Genomic DNA, 21,139 nt, shown 5'->3' with positions numbered 1-21,139 from the left:
CCTGCCTACTATTCCCTTTTAAAGAAAATAGCCCCACTGTGCCTTATCTATGGGAAAGCCTACAAATTTCATTATGTTAGCACTCGTGTTGCACAGGAGTCTTTTGCTCAGAGTAAATCAGCAAATATTTTTGATCACTTAATGTGTGCCAGGTTCTCTGGAAAAATCCAAGATGACTAAGACCGGTCACCTGCCCTCCACTCATTCATACCAATGATGTCAAACTTATCAAACCTAAAACATATAAGACCAAATGTAAATCTCTACATTTGGTCCAGATTTACATATAAGACCAAATGTAAATCTCTAAATTCTCAATTCTCTACCTCATCTACAAGCTTTTGTTACTGTGCTCCTCTGACCAAATCTTCAGGCTCCTCAAATTGAACAGAATGTCAGAAAGACAAGGTCTTAACCATTGTAAAGTAAATATGTCCAGAAAAGAAACAAACTTAGCAATTCAGACATTCAAAAGCTACTTAATTGAGTTTTCTGAATAGTGAATGCCTTTTAGTTAGCATATTGGTGAAGATATCAGTTTAATTATTTAGCAGAGGAAAGAATAACAATAATTTATACAAAATAAAAGTTTACTTATCTCACTTAAGAATATGAGCTGGGAGGCAATCCATGAGTTTATTTAATACCCAAACTGCTATCTTGATGCTTTGCAATTCACTAATGTTGTCTTTATCTACACAGTCATGGATGGCTCGCCCTATTCATAGTTTAGCTCCTGGGAAGAAGGAAAAAAAAATGAATGGAAAGTAAACCCCTTACTTTTACGAATATGAGCCACAAATGGCATGCATCACTTCTGTTCAAATGTCATTGGCCAGCAGTTAGTTACATGATCATACCCGGCAGCAAGGGATGCCGGGTAATCATGACCTCAGCTAAAATTCTGGGATAATAGTGCTAAAAGAAAGAAGGGAAGAATGGATATTGGAGGCCAACAGCAGCCTCTGCACCATGGGAATTTGTGGTGTGATTCTAGAATGCTCTAATATCATTACATTGACTTTAGGTAATATATCTGAGAACCATTTTCACTCAAGTTTGGTTCTCAATTTTAGGATAGAAATGGATCATTTTCAGAATTATTTAAAATGAAGGTTTTTAAGCTGCAATCCTTGTCTGTCGAGGAATCTGCATTTTCAAGAGACGTCACAGGTGATTCTTTTGCAGTTTCCGCAGTTTGGGACTGGTGGCCTCTACTATGGGCTACCTTGAATAGAATTCAGGCCTGGTTTATAAGTTGTACATAATAAAAACCTACCACTTGTGGCATATAAACATGAACTTGGGTTTACATTAGGGAATGGTGACCTGAACTGAAGGAGTTTAGATCACTGTTAAGACTATGTTAATTGGCTGGGCGTGGTGGCTCACGCTTGTAGTCCCAGCACTTTGGGAGGCTAAGGTGGGCGGACCACCTGAGGTTGGGAGTTTGAGACCAGCCTGACCAACATGGAGAAACCCTGTTTCTACTAAAAATACAAAATTAGCTGGGCGTGGTGGCCCATGTCCATAATCCCAGCTACTTGGGAGGCTGAGGCAGGAGAATTGCTTGAACCCAGGAGACGGAGGTTGCAATGAGCTGAGATTGCGCCATTGTACTCCAGCCTGGGCAGCAGGAGCAAAACTTAGTCTCAAAAAAATAAATAAATAAATAAAGACTATGTTAATCAAACTTTCTCACACTAGATCTAGGATTCCTTGAGTATAAAGAGATTATTATATTTTGAAAAGTTGACTCATTTACCTCTTCATGCTGTAATAAACACAATATTAATAAACTACTATACTATTTATGTGGTTTTGTAAGTACAATTTTGGGCCTTATCTCATTTTGTCTTTCCAGTAAACAAGATTTTGCAGGTGAAGTAGTTGAGAGATAGAATTGCCTTGCTCATAGACTCCAAACCCAGATCTTCTTGCTTTCAATGCTAGTGTTTTTTTTTTTTTCACCATGCTACAGTGCATCTCTTTGTTTCCCATCCTAAGTTGAGATCAAAATAGAAACAGCTCAAAATAGAGCAGAAGCAGTGAGCAGAGTGAAGAGTAGACAAATGCATTATAAAAAGCATGAGGCAACAAGAGAGAGGGGTCTCAGAAACATTATACTAAGTGGAAGAAGCCAGACACAAAAGACTTTATATTACACCATTCCATTTACATGAAACATCTAGAAAAGTAAAACCTATAGACACAGAAATAGATTAGTGGTTGCCTAGGGCTAAGGGTAGGAACAGAGATTAACTGTAAACAGGCATGAGGGATCTTACTGGGGAGAATAAATTTCTAAAACTGGATTATGATGATTGATGCACAACTCAGTATGTTTACTAATAATCATTGAATTGTACACTTACGCATGAATTTGATAGGATGCAGATTATAACTCAATAAATTTGTTTTTTAAAAGAATCATGAGTTAATATTAGAAGTATAGATTTTATTTTCAGTTCTGCCACTTACAACTTGGATTAAATTGAGAAATTAACACAACCTTCCTAAGATCCTTCTATTAGTCAGAGTCCTCAGAGAAACAGAACCAACGGGAGATTAGATAAATAAATGGAAGGTTAGGGCGATAGATAGATGATAGCTAGCTAGCTAGCTAGCTAGATAGATAAGATAGATAAACAAACAGATCGATAGATAGAGATAGATGATAAATAGATAGATAGATAGATAGATAGATAGATAGATAGATAGATAGATAGATGATAGATAGGCAGATGAGAGAGAGAGAGAGAGATTGAGATCTGGAGACCCAGGAGAGTCAGTGATGTAGTTCTGGTCTGAGTCCAAAGGCCTGAGAAACAGGAGAGTCAGTAAGTCTACTGTAAGTCTCTCCTACAAGGACAGAGTGTACATTCCAGTTCAATGGCAGGTGATCAACATCTAGCTCAAGAGGTCAGGTAGAGAGAGAGAGAAAGAGAGAGAGAGTGCTCATGCACATTTTCCCTTTCTCCGAATTTTCTATTCAAGGCCTCAACAGACAGGATGATGCGCACCCATATTAGAGCAGACAATCTGGGCAATCAGCTTTACTTAGCCTATGATTCAAATGCTAATCTTGTCCAGAAGTATCCTTACAGACATACCCAGAAATAACATTTAACCTAATATCTGGGCATCTCATGGCTCAGTCAAGTTAACATACAAAATTAACCATCACAACTCTGAATTCTCATCTCTAAAATGGGGATAAAATTAGTGTGTACCACATACAGTGTTCTATCTTCTTAACACATTGGAAGAGACAAAAAATGTTGGACATCCTCGGCATTAGGGCTGGAAGTTTACAATCACATGTAAAATAAGTCATGATAATTCACATATGATAATGTTGGTTAGGGATAAAACTGTCAGTAAAAGATCATTAAAATGACACTTAAAAAATACATTAAGGACAATATATGAGGACCATGATGACTGATTGTGACTTCAAGTTCAGTATTCTATTTATCTACATTATATCTACAAATATGTCTTTAAATTGGTACATTCCATACCTATATATGTGTACAAATTCATGTATATACCTGAATATATGTGTACATATATATATATATATGTACACATGTTGAAATGTTGATCATATGTTGATCTCCTGCCATTGAACTGGAATTTACACTCTGTTTTTATAGGAGAGACTTACGGGGGTACTTATTGGCTCTCCTGTTTCTCAGGCTGTGGACTCAGACCAAATACTTGACTATTTATATTTCAAGTATACTTTCCATATATATTTTATATCTGTCTCATATATATTTACATATACATGTGTGTGCACATATATATATACACATATGCACACATTCCATTTATCTGCAACATATATTCCATCTGTGTGTCCATGATGATTTGATGGCAGCATTGAAGCAGGAGATGAAATACAGGATATCTTACGTAGCCTCTTGTTCTTAAATTCTACAAAACAAGAGTAATTTTGAAATGCATCTGTCTACTTTGGCTGCCTTCAGATTTGTGAGTAGCATCTAGCATTCCCTTTTACTTCACACCTGAAATCTAGAAACCACTCTCCTATGGGAATATACACTTGAAGAATGAACTTCTGTTTTGCCTTATGAATAAGAGTCATCACAAAATAATGGGACATGCTGGACGACCTGTCTGTGTTGCACCATTTGTAGTTCACCTCGGAAAATTACAGCAACAACAATGATCAGGCAAGCAGCTCTGATTACTAAACACTATTTCCATTAGGCCGATACAAATATGCCACTCCTCTTCTTTCCCTGGAATCACTTCCTGACAAAAGATTATTTAAATTATTTTAAGATGTTTATTTTATCATCTTCTTCCTTCCTCATGTGATTTTTGAGAGTTTAGCTTTAATGCATTATGTGCCTCTGCTGTAAGCCTTTTAATGTCAACCTGTCAAAAACTAATTACATTTTTTAAGTCAGAAAACACTTGATAGCTGATTTTTTAAAAAAAATATTATTTAAGTCAGTATCACTTTTCTATCTAACATTCCAGGAAATCTGCCATGTGTATACTCATCCTTCTTTAGGTCCAGGATGCACTTATAAAGAATGCAGTGCTCTAATAGGGCAGAGCTGAAATTCCCTCCTGTGTTGCAGTGGTTTGCTGTGCTATTTAATGCATCCTTAGCAGATTGGCACACCAGTTTCCTGATATAATTTAATGTTAAATAACACTCCCAAGACTGTGTCAGGAAATAAGCTACATGTAAAATGTCACCTTTGACGAAAAGAAAACAATTACAGTTATGACATGCAATTTGTATCAGCCTCTTTAGAGATAATCAAAGAAAGATAACAGAATACACTAGCCAATGAATGGGCTAGCAGGGAGGAAAAGAGAAGAGCCTTTGTATTTTCATGGTTCCATTTCATAGGGAGGAAAAGAGAAGAGCCTTTGTATTTTCATGGATCCATTTCTCCTTGGCACACCCAAGCCAGTCTTTTTCTGAGTCCACTGGATAAGCATTTGTCATAAGCTTTACTGTACCATGGAGTTATGATTAATATTACAGCTCAAGTATAGCAGGTTGAAAGACCACATTCATTTTCAAAGTCACGTCGCATTGATTAGAATTCACTGCAGGTTATTCAAATAACGATCCTCTCTTTCCCCAGGAGAATCTCTGTCTGATTTTTCTTTATCCTCATTAAAGATCCCAGGTGCAGACAAAGCTTTACGTACTTCTAATTTGCATTATCCTTGGGAAGGAGGTAATTCACATGCCTTCAGTATATAGCACTTGTTTTTGTAGTTTGCTCTTTCCTATCATCTATTTAAATAAATCAAGAAATTTAGCCTTTATAAACCCTCAGACAATAGAAAATGCCAAATTTTATTATCCTTAGTAATGAGCCCATGGATCCCGAACCCTTCATGATAATTCAGATAAAATGAGGCATTTTTGTTCAGTTCTTGGCTGTACTTCGCTTAAAAAGACAATGATTTTTTTTTTCTTTCTCAGGGGAAAAGGATTTATTTTAGGAATAAAGAGCAGCACAGAGCATTTTTCGGCCTTATCAGAACTGAAAAGCAAGGGTTCATCATGAAATAAATGTAGCACTGAGATAAACCTCAGCAGAACTTGATATGTTGTTTGGCTAATTAGATAAATTTCTATGCAAGGACTGATCAATTATTGCCTCGGTTGAGATAATTTATTAGCTACTCTTCCCAATTTAGCATTTTCATTGAATCACATATGGATTTCATTGACATAAGGTGTGGGCCTCAAAATTATGACAAAGAATTCTGCCTTGTACTATTTTTACCTTTAGTTTTTGTGTAATGAGTTTAGCCTGAAGCAGACTGACAGCATTGTTGACATTTCATTGAGTTTCCATTTCTCAAGAGAGAAGAAATTTTAGCTAATTAAATAATGCTAGAGTGTCTTAGAAACTACAAAAGCAACACGAAACCACACGGCAGTCGCACTATATTTGTTAAGACCACTTGTGTATTTCTGAGATGTTTAGAAAATTGAAGTCTGCATAACAAAACTTTTAAAGAGACTCAGAGGCTCAAAATGATGTGGCTGGCATAATTGGAAAGGTAGGAGAAGAACAACTGAAAGAGAATTTTCATAAAAATAATCATTGTTCAGGATGTGGATGGGGAGTGAATATGATTGTTTCCTTGGGTATGGTACAGCAGCTTAACGGTTCTGAAAATTGTGTATTTTATATGTATTGCATGTGTGTGTTTCATGCTGAAAGTCACATGTGTTATTTACAGGGTGGAATTGCTACTTCCAGGCCAGGGAATCAGCATTAGCTATATATTATATTTAGGTATTAATGAAAGCTGATCTCTAGCCTCCTCTTTCATTTTTGGGGGACAACATGGTTGCTATGATCTGTGAACATGCTCTTGGTAAGTCTCTTTATACATAACCAATATAAAATAAAATTAAATATTTTATTGGCATTGGTATTAATTTGTTTCTGATAAAAGGATGTGTAATCAGGCCCAGAATCTCATTGACTCTGAGTGAAATAAAATAGAGTGCACAGTTGGTGGGAAAAAAAAAAGCCCTTTTAATTCAATGAGGAATTATTTCACATGAAATAAAATTTTAATGAAAAATAACTGAAGATTCTACTCAGGTATGTCTTTTCAGTTGAGCTTGACAGAGCATCACTGTGCATTTAATAAAAATATGAGTCAATGACAGAACAGAAAGGCAATACAGAAATGTTATCATGTCCACTCCGAGAAATATGCTAAATCATTCTGATGACAAGAGACAATATAGCTGTTGACATTCTAGAGCCATGTTGAGAATTATAGTAAAGTGACATGTGAACCTACCCTGAAAAAATTAAATTTTTAAAAAGAGCATTGCATAATGAAATAGACACCTACTCTCTGTATATGTGCACCTGAATGTGTGTGCACATGTGTGCATATGGGTGTAATATGTGCACACACACAGGTGGTGTGTGTGTGTGTGTGTGTGTGTGTCTTCAATCTTGAGTATCTCAGAGAGGAAGGCATGGAGAATCCAGAGAGATTTATTTTCTCTTTAATCCTCAGGAAACCTCGGAGATTTCATTGACATTAATTAAGCCCACCCCAGGATCATGGACTTGGTGGGCTTGGTGAACTTTTGTTTTAAAAGGCAAGCTTGCCTGCCAGACGAGTTTTTTCCCAAGCTCTCATTTATTGTGGTTTCCAGCAGGGGATCTTGTTTCAAGGGATATAATCAAAGTAAAGGACATTTCTTCTGGGACATATTTTACATAGATTAAATCTCATTATGCAACTTACTCTTTAGTCTATATTCTTTTTTATGAGCTTCTATTGCATGAACAAATTTAACACAGCAAAGTGTGAATTTATTACATCAGATACACTGAGCTCCAAGGAAGGTAAGGTCCAGTAGAATAACACTTTTAGTTTTTCTTACCTACAGTGAATTTCAGCTCACAGAATTTTAGTGGAATCTCATTAAGGTATACATATAATTACTTTTTGTAAGAAACTATATTATGTGTGTGTATGGTGAACATGTATTTCAGAATCTGTTAAGAACACATGTTCAATAGATAAGTGGAAGGGGTGTTATATTTTAATAGTTTCATTGTTATTTGATTGCCAAAGTAAATTACATATTTTCAGATCTAATCTCGTGTTTGCTCTTCTGTGATATAGTCAGCCCTACAATTAAAATTGTCAGGGTAAACTGAGAAATTGATTTTTTTAGCCGGACAAAAGGATAGGATGTGCAGTCAAGCTTCAGGTTAAATTGTCCTGCTCTTTCTAGCAATTTTCTTCACCATTTAGTCTCTAAAGGTACAATTTCCTTCAGTGGAGTGGAAGTCCTCTCTGTTTCAGTTCTCAGCCTCTCTGCTATGCATTTAATGAAAAACTGACTTATAATTCTATCTGTTTTGTAGTGTCTGAGGGGATCCTCTTGCATCCTATCTGTATGTTGGGTAGTTCAGTAGGATGACTGAAAAAGAACCATCTTAAGAAGCCAACTGACCAATAGGTCAGTTAAATGGCCAATCAAAACATAGACTTCTTTTTCTTTTACTGATCAATGAAGTCAAATTCCCTGTGTAAGTGGTTAACTCATCTTCAGAACTTGAAACATAATTAAACCAGAAGGAGTCTGTTATGATTAGAGGTGAGAAGCTGGGGCTAGTTAAGCCATAACAAAGAAAATGAATTCAAATGAAGCTTTGCACAAAATGCAGTTTTCCTTTTCTAATCATATTATGTAAAATGTATTTCCTAATGCTTTTGAAAAACAAAGCGATTTATATAACAATTCAAAAGTATATCCAACATGTCTGACAAACACATATTCTGTTCTTTGTGGATTTCAGACACTTTACATTCCATTGATGTATTTTCAGAATTTTTCCCCTTTCTCTCCGTGGTTTAATGTCTTTATGGTGACCTTAATAATCTTCAGTAACCTAATTTAGTTCACTACTGAATAAATATTTCTCTAGATGACTTTCACATAGCTTAATAATGTATGCACTACCTACCTTAGATAGTAAGTTCCTAAAATCTGTACTATTTATTATGTTCTAATTCTTTATGGCTATAATAATTTCTATCAGATTTCTACTATCTAATTAGATTTTGTAGCTTTTATGATATAACACAGATAATTTTTTTCTCTTGGTATTAAGTTAATCTTAGATAACTTCAAATAAAATGAATATCATCAAATTTGAGAAAATGTTTAAAAGAAAATGCATGTTCAAAATGTGCTTTTTGTCTATTTCATTATGAAATGCTCCTTTTTTATTATTTCACCCTATTTTCATCAAACTATTTTCCCCTCGTTACTTATGTTGTAGTTATTCCAATGTTTCTATCTTATTATCTGTTTGTGTATCAATCAAGGTAATGGTGCAAGTAAAGATAGTGTAGATAAACACACAATTTTGGTCAAATGTGAAGAGTGCCATATTCTCTGGTAAGTTAACTTGTGGAAAGTACAATTTCTGACACCATCCTAAACTATCAGTTTAGAATTTTCATCAACTGACAATGCTCCCTTCTACAGCATGGACAGCTGCATACTTCAGCACTGGATTCATTTAACTCTGCATGTTGTTTTCAAAATGAATGAGAGTGACATGCTCTGAACAAATGTTCCTTTTATATTGCAGCAGACAATGAGGTCCTCCACCAGTGCTTCCTAGAACCTGGGGACAACACAGTTGTTATGCAGCCAATCCATGCCCTGGATGCAAGTTTCGCAGGCTCCAGTATCATTCTGGTCATTCCTCTGCAAAACACTACTGAAAAAGCAGTTACGCATGGGATCTTGAATTTTCCTGTAAAAAATGTATTTGTAAGCCCTGGATCTAGAGATCTAGAGGCCTATTGGTTAATAATTAAGAGGGTGTGTGTGTATGTGTGTGTGTGTGCATGTGTGTATGTGGGTGATCCAATACATAAGGTGATTTATAAAATACAATACTGCCAAAAAAAGTCTCTTTTAATGCCCTAAGACTTAAGAGAGCTGCAGTCTTTTGTTTTGTTTTGTTTTGTTTTTTTGCTGTTGTTGTTTGGTCTAATTTAAAAATAGTCTCTTCTAAGCCATTAAGAGAAATAGATACAGTGAGCGAGTCCAGGGCTGTGAGGCAAGAGAACTAGTTTTAACCCTGCAGCGGGCTGGCTAACACTTAGCAATTCATTCTACCCTTCAATGGAAGACTAAACTAAGCTGAACGTACTCTGTTTTCTTTCAGCTATAAAACTATGCCTTCTGAATATTAATAGCCAGATTTGTACCTACCAAGTAAAGAATGAAGGAATTTGTAAAGGAATTTTAGTCCAATATCTTCATGGCTTTAATAATCTGAGCCATTTTCTCACTCACTTTACTACTCAGCTTAGAGAGACTCCAGTTTGCTCTGTCTCACCTCAGACAAAGCCTCTTGAAATGTTGGTCAGACCTTCAGCGGGAGCAGTCAAGTAGCAATCATTGTAATTGGTAGGAACTAACATTTAAGAACCTGCCCTGTACTTTCACTGCTTAATGTGCTCTCTCTATATTAACTAATTTCATCTTCATAACAGTCGCAGGATTTATATACATTTATATATTGTAAGTAGTCCCATTTTGAGGATGCGCATACTGAGGTACTAAAAGCCTAAAATTGTTTCTCCTGTAAATGTGTTGCACTGAGAACCAGCCAATCTGGTTCTCGGTGCAAATCTGATGAACCCAAGCCAGATTCTAGAAAGTGTGTTCATCCTTAGAGTCTACCTTCAGCCACAGTGATTACTGAATTACTGTCTGGATACTGAACAGTTCTATTATAAAGAAATCTTTTTTAAAAAAATCTCCTTCCCCAGTGACCTAATAAAGAGTGCTCTGTGCCCAACGGCCTACTCTTGGCCATCTTCACCAGCCAGCCACACTTCAGGCACTGCCTGAGGGGTGCAAGCCAGGACCCAGTTCCAAGCTGTGCAACTTTGACTTATGAGATGGAGGAGGGGGATGAGAGCATGTGTTAGGGCCTTTGACAAAGGAAAGAGCTAGTTCTTGGGTACTGAACGCGAGCCCCAGGTTCCTAAAAGCATAAACTGTTCTTGTTCTTCTCATATTATACAATTTTTATTTAGTAGCTAAATAATAAGCAAAGCATTATATAATCATGTATTAGTGACTTATTTCAATTTTGCTACCAAGAGATGAAAAATTGTTATCAAAATGCAGAGCATAAATCTTGGAACTGTCATTTGGATGTGTCACATCAATGTGTTTGGTGATATGAACCTACTATGTGCAGACGTAGGGGTTACAGCCGCAAGTAGAACACGTCTTGGGTGGGCCCGGCTCTCTTGGAGCTCAGGCAAAGGCCACAACTCCAATGATGACGTTTTACTAATTACTGGAGACAAAGTGTTATGAACATGGCTTGATTACTAATTGCTCTGCTCTCTTCTGAAAAGATATATTTCATTTGAATAACAGAAAATCCTTTGAAGCAAATGTCACAAGGTAAAAGTCATATTGGTTTTTAAGCATATACAACTTGGGATAGTTAGTTAAGCATTGAACTGGAACAGGGGTGAGAAACGGGCAGTATTTAAGAGCATGTGCAGCCCTCTCAGAACTCATTACATCTCAACATTCCGATGTAACAAAGCCAGGAATTTTCTTTTCGCATTTGACCATTTCCCTTTTAAGAGATATAGGTATATTTAGAAGAAACTGAAGCCCAGAGAAGTTAAGTGAGTTGCCTAGGGTCCCCCAGCTAGTAACTCAGAGTTAGGATTCTAATTCACTTTTTTTGACAGCTACACCAGTTGTTCCTAGTTGACAGGTACATGGCTGTTTCTAATTGTCCCATCTTTCCATCCATAAGAGTTACAAGGATTTCTTTCCTCTTGGTTTTTGTGTAGGATAACTAAATAAGATTTCTCAATCATATTTTTAAGTACTAAAAATAGATTATCCATATTATTCGTATAAATATTTAAAAATACAAGAAAATAATAACTTACAACATACCAGTTATAAATCTCTGTTAACATTTTCTTATATATCCTTCCAGTCTACCTTCTTTTTCTATATATCTTCATATGGATTTTCAAATAAGTAGGTTTTCTTTGTTTTGTTTAAAATCATTTCGAATTGCTCTAGAATAAAGAGGAGTTACCTTTTTATATAAAAATGATTTAAAACTATAATTTAAATCCTTTGGGATACCTTCAAAATTATCCTAACATTAAATACCAAATAAGACTCCATAGTACACATCCTACAATGTTTGGTTACTTGTGAGTGAACAGGTGTGTGTGTGTGTGTATGTGTGTGTGTGTGTGTGTGTGAAATGTATCTTATTCAAACAACAATATAATCTAAGTATATTTCCATGTCATTAAATATTGTTGTACATTATTTTACATCCTTTAATAATACTTAATTATACTAAGTACCATAATTTATTAACATATTCCTCATTTTAAACATTTAGGATGCTTTCAAATTTTTTATTCTCATAAATGACACTTGAAGTAAGGTCTAGATGAACAGCTTATAAAACTAAATGTTTTTACATATTTATAATTTTTTCTTGAGCTTAAATTCCAAAAAGTAGAATTTTAGAGTGGAAGGTATAAAAAATTTACAAAATTTAAAAATACTTTATGTCCAAACTACCTTTAGAAAAGTTGCATCTCTGTACATCCCACCAGTGATATATATATGTATGGATGTATATGTGTGTATATATATATATATATATATATATATATATATATATATTCTGTCACCAATATTAAATATTATACTATGCTCTCTTCTCCACTTTGACAATTTTATATGCAAAATGCAGCTAATTTCTTTAAATCAGCATTCATTAATTTATAGGGAAGTTAAACTTACATTTATCGGTCATTTGTATTATTTTGATTATTTCATGTCTATAGGATGCTCTTTGCTTAAAACTATTTGTGAAATGACCTTCATTGTAAATTTTTCTATGTTGTAGGCTCTATAGCCTATCAATGGTCAAACTCTAATCAGCAACTCAGATCAATATAAAAACTAATGTCTTGAAGATGGGTTTTGTGAGAAGATTGTAGACAATGGAAGGGGACTCCTTCAGAGATGAATGTAACAGCTTAGTTAAGATTTGATTACCCATGTTCTCTAAAGAGAGTACAGACAAATTTAAACATGGGATAAGTTGAGATCTAATGAGCATCTTCATGGAGACAGTTTGGGCACCATAAACTCCAATGAACTAGGTAGACAATATTGATTGCTGTATTTGACTGGTAAACCAACTTTTCTCAGGAAATATTAAATTTACAATATATACCAAACAACTCCTGCATTATGAGTCTAAATCACATGAAAATAGCACGTAAGATTTCTTTAGACACCAAAAACTATGAAGCTGAAGTTTGCAAAATTTTGAAAAAAAATGTTAACAGCAAATCTCAACTTACAATTTTGGACTTTTATAGAACTGAGTCAAAGTAGGTTGCAAAGAGAAAATGCACATGTGGATTCAATTGTAAAATGTGTAATATAATTTTTGAATAAAATATGCACGTTATAAATATATCAGATTATATTTATAGTGTATAAATTGTATAATGGGGTTAGAACTATTTAATATTTTTTGGCTTTCATGGCTTAACAGACAGGAGTGTCATTTGCTCCTTGAAATTAAAACACACCCACACACAGTAACTCCCCACGCTGTCTTTGATGAAGAATCTGGCCTTCTAGTTCATTTAACACGAAATAACAGATTTGTGTTGATGGTGCTTTTGTTCTTGATAGTGAGAGAACTGTTACTGAAAAATTAGCTACTCACCCTCAAGCAATCACTAACATTCCAGTTCCTGAATAGAAAAGGGGAGAGGAGAGCAGATGGAAGCAAACAAAAATTGTATTAATAATACATAACAAAGTGCTGCTAAAAATGATATTTCAATAGAGGAAAACAATAGGAAAACTGCAGTTTTCATTGGATCTTAATGTATTTATCAGTCTCTAATGCTTCCATCTTCAAGCAGTTCTCTTTTATTGACACGACAACACAAATTGCAGAAGTAAATTGAATCACAGACTCAGAATGTAAAAATCAATGAGAAATAATTTTGTAGCACTAAAGTGAATAGTGTAATGCTAGGTATTCATTTAATTAACCATGAGCCTTTCCACATAATGCACAATCATTGCCAGCTTTTCAGCTCATAGTTGTTCCAGGAATAATGGGTTTGGGATTCATCTTTAGAAAACCTGCATTAATATTTGAAAGCGTTTAAATCCATTAGTGGGTCATCGGAACACTGCAGGTCACTTTTACATTGCTAATTGAAACAATAGTAATGGGTTATAATCTACTGTCTAATAATGCCTGGAGTGTTTTACCGCTTTTATATCTGCAGATTCCAGGAAATATGTAAATTTGTTGCTGAACTGTTATAAAAATATGGAAATTTAAGCCGCAGACATCAAAGCATTTTTTCCTAAAAAAAACACCACGTTAATAAACTGAAGAGTTACACTACATTATGGTGTCAGGATAAATTCCTTACTCTAGACCTTCCCTGTTCTCTCTTCTGTGCTCTGGGCGCAGCATCTGGTACTCACATTTTCCACGTTGCCATTAGGAGAAAGTGAATATCATTAAACCAGTGAGTAAACAATCATGTCATTGTTTCCATATGCAAGCTATACATTGACTCAGCCTGCTGGGTCCTGGCTGCTTTTTTTATTTGCCCTACATGAATTTATGCAGGCATTTTATTTTTCATGGAGATTTTCAATATATATCAACATTTTCTTGGATGGGGGCAGTAAATGTGGCAGCAACTCTAGCATATGAAATGAGAATATGATTTCAGTGTGAAACATACATGTGTGTAAATACATACACATATATAAAAGGAAATATATAAGAAAGAGTAGCTTTCTGAATTCTTGTAAATTGAATGTCATACAAATTGATACTTAACCAGAATTTTCTCTTTTAATTAAACATGCATCTCATGCCCTTACCTGCAGCCTCCTATGCTTAATTACAGTCTGATTGTGCAGAAAATCCAGAAAGATACATCTCATTATAATAAAGAAAATGCTTTGGTATAGGTAGAGATTGTGTATGCATGCATGCCTATTTTATATAAATAAGATATGTTCTTAGGAGCACTTTATGCTAAAGCTCAAAGGAAAATAAGGACTTAAATCTATTCACTCTTTATCAACATGATCACATTAGCAAATTTGGAGGAGAGGGGATGACTACAAGAAGCCTCAGAGAGGGTACGGAATTTGGTGCTGTATCAAGAAAAGCAACATTTTGATTTCTGGTTTTCATCGTCTTCTCAAATGTATTTATGCCCAAGGAAGGTGATGTAAGTTGGAATCAAAATTCTGATTTCATCCACAGGGCACTGGTGAGAGTGCTTCTAAGCAAGGTAGTATGAATTGCATACACAGACCAGAAGAATCCATGTATTAATTGTATTGTCTGTAGAATTTAAATGAAACATTTTAATGACTTTAATGGGGGTTGTGGATAAGAAATGGGCCAAATATCCATTGGTTCCTGAAAATAGAAAGGAAAAAAAATGGTTTGAGATGCTCATAAGGACATTGCAAAAAGGAAAACTGACCTTGTAAAGTCCTCTCTTAAATATTCCCGCCATGTTTCCTGTCTTTCTCCATGCACTAGTAAGCTCCCTTTGAAGTCAGTATTACTATACTTGAATCAGCAGTACAGGACATGGAGAAAGATGAAACAATGACCCCAGAAGCGAGTTGTTACTTTATCAAAGAAGGACAAGTACTATTAGCCTATAGTGCAATAAATAGCCACCTCAAAGGTATTTTTCACTTTTTTTCAGCTAAAGGAATTGACAAAGGGATTGTGACCTGATGCTTCACAATGAGAACCCTGTTGTGATTAAATGGTATGACAAATTGGCCTTTGTGTACCCAGTTATAGCTCTTACGAGTTTTATTGTGCCTACAAAAGAGATAGGTACTTAAGGGTTAAGAGAAAATCCCACAATAATATCACATATCCAGTGAACCGAGAAATCCTATGTGAAGGTCAGAAATCCCTTTCCAACCCCTGGGAGTTTGTATAGCTTTACCCTTCTAGTCTAGCTGTGTTATGATAATACCAAGCATGCAGAAACCCAAGAAACCAAATTCTTGCCTTTTCTTTAGGCAAATTGTGGTACGTTTTCATTGACATATATAAGAACATATATAACTGAACTGACACTAGAACTCCATCACTCTTCACTCACCATTCTCTATCTTAACAGCAATTAACACTTTTATTTTAGAATTCTATTTGTTTCCAGAGTGGGGAACCTGGCCACCAGTCATGAATGAAGATTTGCCCCAACTTGTCACCAAGAACACACTACTTCCTTTTCCTTTAGGAGTTTAGTCATCCTTCATTTCCTTTTAACTAACCTAGTGGTGCACATTTCAAGATGTAAAGGAAACTCTTTAATGTAAAAGCTCTTCTAGTTCTAGGTTGCCGATCATTTCCTTTCAGTGCATTGAAAGAACACTCATTTGGGTAACCCGATTCCTTCCCATAACTTAAGACATCCATTAATGGTATGTCATTCATTGGTTCACTGGCTATTAGCAAAAGAAATGCCTGACCTTGCTGCCAGGAGTCAGGGAAACAAATCTCTCCATTTTAGTGTATGCGCTTTGCTTTGCATTTCAGTGACTTAGCAGATCCCTTTATTTCTGTGTTAATCTGTTAGGCAATATGCTTTCTTGTCCAAAAGTGTTGTGACCCTGGTTCTGGGTTAGATGACAAGGCGAGCACTTTGGCTAAAAGGTGACATCCCTCTTTCAGCCATTCTACCAGACCTTACTGTCTCATTTTTTTATTTTATTCCTAATTTTTTCATTTATTATGATGGTTTCATTCTTCATTCCTTCAATAAACAATATTTACTGCTTCCTACTTAAGAGAAGAATTTAGGAACCTACCGTATTCCGATGCTTATTTATTCTTTACTAAAGTCACCCAAGTTTTAGTCTATGAATATATGGGTAAAGACCACACACACACACACACACACACACACACACTCTAGCTCACAGTTACATGGATAAGTTCTTCAGGGGTGACTCTGAGATTTTGGTGCACCCATCAGCTGAGCAGTGTACACTGTACCCAATGTCTAGTCTTTTATCCCTCGCCACCTTCCCACCTTTTCCCTCGAGACCCAAAGTCCATCGTATCTTTCTTATGCCTTTGCATCCTCATAGCTTAGCTCCCACTTACAAGTGAGAACATACGATGTTTGGTTTTCCATTCCTGAGTTACTTCACTTAGAATAATGGTTTCCAGTTCCATCCAGGTTGCTGCAAATGCCATTATTTCATGAATAAGAGTGAGTTGCTTGCATCAGTAAGTTGATCTTATTTTCTGTAATTTTTGAAGTTCCAAACTGTTATTGTTCTAAAGATTACAATAGTCTTTATATTGTCTATTAAGAAGCACGAGGCCTCATATATTCTAACTTTGACTCAGGGACAGTTCCTCCACCCATGAGGGAAGACCCTGTCCCCCAGCTGTGTGTGACTTTAGGAGGGGTAAATGTAGAACACTGAAAGGTGTGTGATCTTACCTAATCAGCAGTTCCCTAGAGTCATCCTTAAATATCAATGAAATACCAGCTATCATTACCAGCTAAATATTTATCTTCCTAATGGCACCATTTTGTAGAAGAACACAATTCTCCCTTCTCCAGAAGTAGGAAAATGGGAACATAAATACAGCTTATTGATAATTATTAGTATGATTATTACCTGGACATCATAAATAACAACAGCCAACATTTAATATGCATGTAAAAATCTGTCAGACACTGATCTAAGTGTTCATATGGACCATATTTTATCAATCCTAAAATGAATATTTTCTTTCACATATTCATGGCTCTGGAATTGGGCTATGTTTGACAACCTATAGGAAATTATTGTTTACTTGGCATTGTTTATTGGTTTATAAAATATAATGAGTCATATTCTATGAGATAAAGTATTAATTTGTTCAAAGACCACAGCAACTTTGTGAGTTAAGTATTATATTATATTCATTGTGTAAATGCAACTGAAATACCAATGCAATTAACTATCTTGTTCAAGATTAAAAATTATTAGTTTATAGAGGTAGGATTCAAAGCCAGGCAAAGTGATTCCAGAGCCTGTGCCATTAATCTCAATGCTTTGCTACTTCTTAATGGACAAAGAATCTCTTGGATGAGTCTTTCAACTTCCTGCCTGCATGGTATTGTGTGTGTTTTATCACCCAGAATTTAAAAATACGCCCTTATACGTTTCTTTCTCTATCGCAGGTTAAGTTGAAAGTTAATGGAAGCTGCAAAGTGTTTGCCTTCTGTATCTGCAATGGAAACCCCACCTGCTGTCTTCTTGGTGTTTTTGTTCCTTGTCTTTAAGACCTGGTCTCAAATTCAGAAGTTCAATACCAGCGTCAGTTTGACTTGACACAATCTATGGTTGTAGTGTATTGATTTCACAAATTGAACCTATGGTGAGTTTGAATTATGAATTGAGAGAGAAACAACTGTGGTGAAAACTGAAGTCATGAGGTTTATCTATTCAGAACATTCAATAACTAATTCAAACACAAAGTTTTTTTATATGTTTAAGGCAGATAAGGTATTGAATCTGATAGCTTTATGGGTGGGTAAGAAGAGATAATAATAAAACTAGCTCCCAAATAGAATAACAATTTAAAAGTAAAATAAGCATGTGTTCATATTAAATCACTCTCGCTTTCACTATCAAAAACAAAACTATCCATGTAAACAGAATAAACAGATGTAATTCTACTAACTCAGCCTCATGTACAATGATATCATTACTTCATTACAACAAATAGCATGACAAGTTTACCATAATTGTTTAGATAATCAACATGACAGTCTCAAGCAAGTAGTATGTCTCTGTCCAATAATGCAGCTAATGAGTTAAGGTGAATGTTCTCACTAATTTGAGACACCACGTGAGGTGCATATGCTAAGAAGCAATGTCTGGGATGGGTGCGGTGGCTCACGCCGGTAATCCCAGCACATTGGGAGGCCGAGGCAGGCAGATCATGAGGTCAGGAAATCGAGACCATCCTGGCTAACACGGTGAAACCCCATCTACTAAAACTACAAAAAATCAGCCGGGCGTGGTGGCACACGCCTGTAGTCCCAGCTACTTGGGAGGCTGAGGCAGGAGAATGGCGTGAACCTGGGAGATGGAGCTTGCAGTGAGCCGAGATTGCACCACTGCACTCCAGCCTGGGCTACAGAGTGAGACTCTGTCTCAAAAAAAAAAGAAGCGATGTCTGAGCAGAGAGACACACAAGGTTCCTAATGAAGGCAAAACAGGTACAATATGTCATGTTTGTTCAATATTATAAATAAATTGTTTCATATTTGTATGTATTTGCTTACAGACTTCAAATGGTATGCATAAATCCTAATTTCAAGTTAAAAATTGCCATCTTATTTGAACACAATTGGAAGATGTAGAGTGAACAGTTATAGACTGTCTTTGAACTATTAGATTTCCTATAGAATCATGCTAACTAAACATAGAACATGTTCCTTTATTAATGACTGTTGTAAATGGAAGAAATCATGGATCGCTGGAAAACATTATTAATTCATCATTCTTAATTCATTGTCAAAAAACTCACTTCTTCAAATTAGTCTTACTATTTTTATTCATGGCACAGAAATGAAACTCTGTCATCAAGAAGCTATTGGACACCTATATGGACATGCATTTACCTCTCTGCCCAGTGCAATTATTTATAAATGTCTGTGGAAGAATAGAGAGAGGAGGGAGGAAAGGAAGAATAGATTATTCTGTGTCTTTCAGGTAAATAATTTATTTGTTTGGTTTAAATAAACCACATTGAGGAATATCAATCATTTAAGGTTACTTGTACACAACTTAATAACCTTATGTAGCAAGATCTTGGCCCTGGTACCTCAGTGGTTTCAAAGAGTTTAATGCCCTCTTTAAGTGGGAAGAATATTTTTCACTTCAGGATCTAGACTTATAGGTCATTTGGCCTCAACCACATCTTGACCATTAGTTTAAACCTAAATCCAGAATTTTGTTATCAACTGATAAAAGTTTAATTACCTTTGTTTATTTTATGTAGCAACTACTGTGGTTCCTTTCCTATTGTCTAGTACAATTCTGTAATGGAGTCATAATCAAAATTACTTTATTCATATAAAAACATTGATTATTTTTTATGTGCCTAATATTGTTCTGTGGACTATGAATATTAGAAGCAAGTATATGATTATTACCTTTAAAAATCTTTCAGTCTTCTTGAGACATATATTGTAAATTCATACAAAGTTAAAACAGAGTATTATTAATTCAACCTTCTTCACCTGAGGTTCTTCCTCCACCCGCTCCCCCACAAAAAAGTTAAAACACACAGCAAAGCCTGACTTAAGTGGCACGGAGTCATAATAAACATTACATGGGAAGTTTATAAAAGGACGCAGTCATAGTCACAAGCGTCTTGGTCAGAGAGGGCTCCATGGTGAAGAAGAATTCAGCAGATCCTGACTTATGGTTAGTGTCCATGGAGGTGTCTTGCTGGGCAAGGATGGGGAAAAGATAAAGATTCTTCATTTAGGAAAAGTATAAGTCAGAGAAGCCAGAATGAGCAAGAAATGATTGGGGAATAAGAAGAGTAGTAAGTCCAGAGGTCATGCAGGGGATATGGCCTGATCAAGACAGATCCTGGATGGCTTGAAATTTATTCATTCAATAAATATTTACTTGAATACCTACTATATATAAAGCACTTAGCTAGGAGCAATAGACACAACTCTTAAGAAACAAACAAGTTTAAAAATGTTTGTCCCACCAACCTCATGAAGTTTGTCCTTTTTTTCAGGAAGAGAGAGACAAGAAAAGAGAAAATATGAAAAACACTAGAGCAACACCTAACTCTTGATTCCTGGGTTAGAGAAGGCTTTTTGTGAGAAGCCTAACACTAGAAGGCTATGAAGGAGTTTGCCGGGTAAAGGGGTGGTGGGAGAAAGGAGGAAACAAGTCCAAACTAATATAAGGTCAAGACACAATGACAGTGGACTGAATCACAAAGTCTGCCATTTTTTTTTTTTCCAATATGGTTGGAGAAACTAGAGATGAAGGTGGAACAGTAGTCAGATCATGGCCGGCCTTGAGGGCCATACCAGAGAGTTTGAATTGCATCCGGAAGGCAGTAGGGAGCCATGGAAAACTTTTAAGTTGAGTGATTAGAAACAAAACTCTCTCTGTTAATGGAGAATAAATTCAAAGGGCAAAAATGGAAGCAGCACACAAGAGATGATGGAAACCTGAGCCACAGTCAAATATACGTGGCTAATGATTGGATGCAGGGACTGAGAGAGACAAGAGCTTGAATGTTGTGTAAACCAAATGGGGCTTGGTCAGTAGACAGCAGTGAAGGCATGAAGTCAGTTACGAACTTTGGATCAAGTAAACAGCACCACAGAGCCAATATTAAAAAGATATTAATTTTTGGGTGATTGAAGTATTGTTTTGGGTGAGAGAGACAAAAAGCAGGGAGAAAGGACAAATAAT

General features: G+C 35.7%; 1 long non-coding RNA gene across 1 annotated transcript in view; it reads left to right on the top strand.

The window, feature by feature from the left end:
- LOC105375639 (uncharacterized) overlaps nucleotides 1-20,895 on the top strand; it is a 49,696-nt gene extending 28,801 nt beyond the window's left edge. The window contains exons 4-8 of the long non-coding RNA XR_007061005.1: nucleotides 9,156-9,298; nucleotides 15,370-15,435; nucleotides 17,863-18,059; nucleotides 19,257-19,402; nucleotides 20,448-20,895. This is a non-coding gene — a long non-coding RNA (uncharacterized LOC105375639). The remainder of the gene's footprint in view (nucleotides 1-9,155; nucleotides 9,299-15,369; nucleotides 15,436-17,862; nucleotides 18,060-19,256; nucleotides 19,403-20,447) is intronic.
- Nucleotides 20,896-21,139: the final 244 nt, after the last annotated feature.

This window comes from Homo sapiens, chromosome 8 (genome assembly GCF_000001405.40).
Source record: "Homo sapiens chromosome 8, GRCh38.p14 Primary Assembly".
NCBI classification, from domain to species: Eukaryota; Metazoa; Chordata; class Mammalia; order Primates; family Hominidae; genus Homo; species Homo sapiens.
Note: the sequence above shows the minus strand (reverse complement) of the source record. Positions and strands in the feature narration are given on the sequence as shown.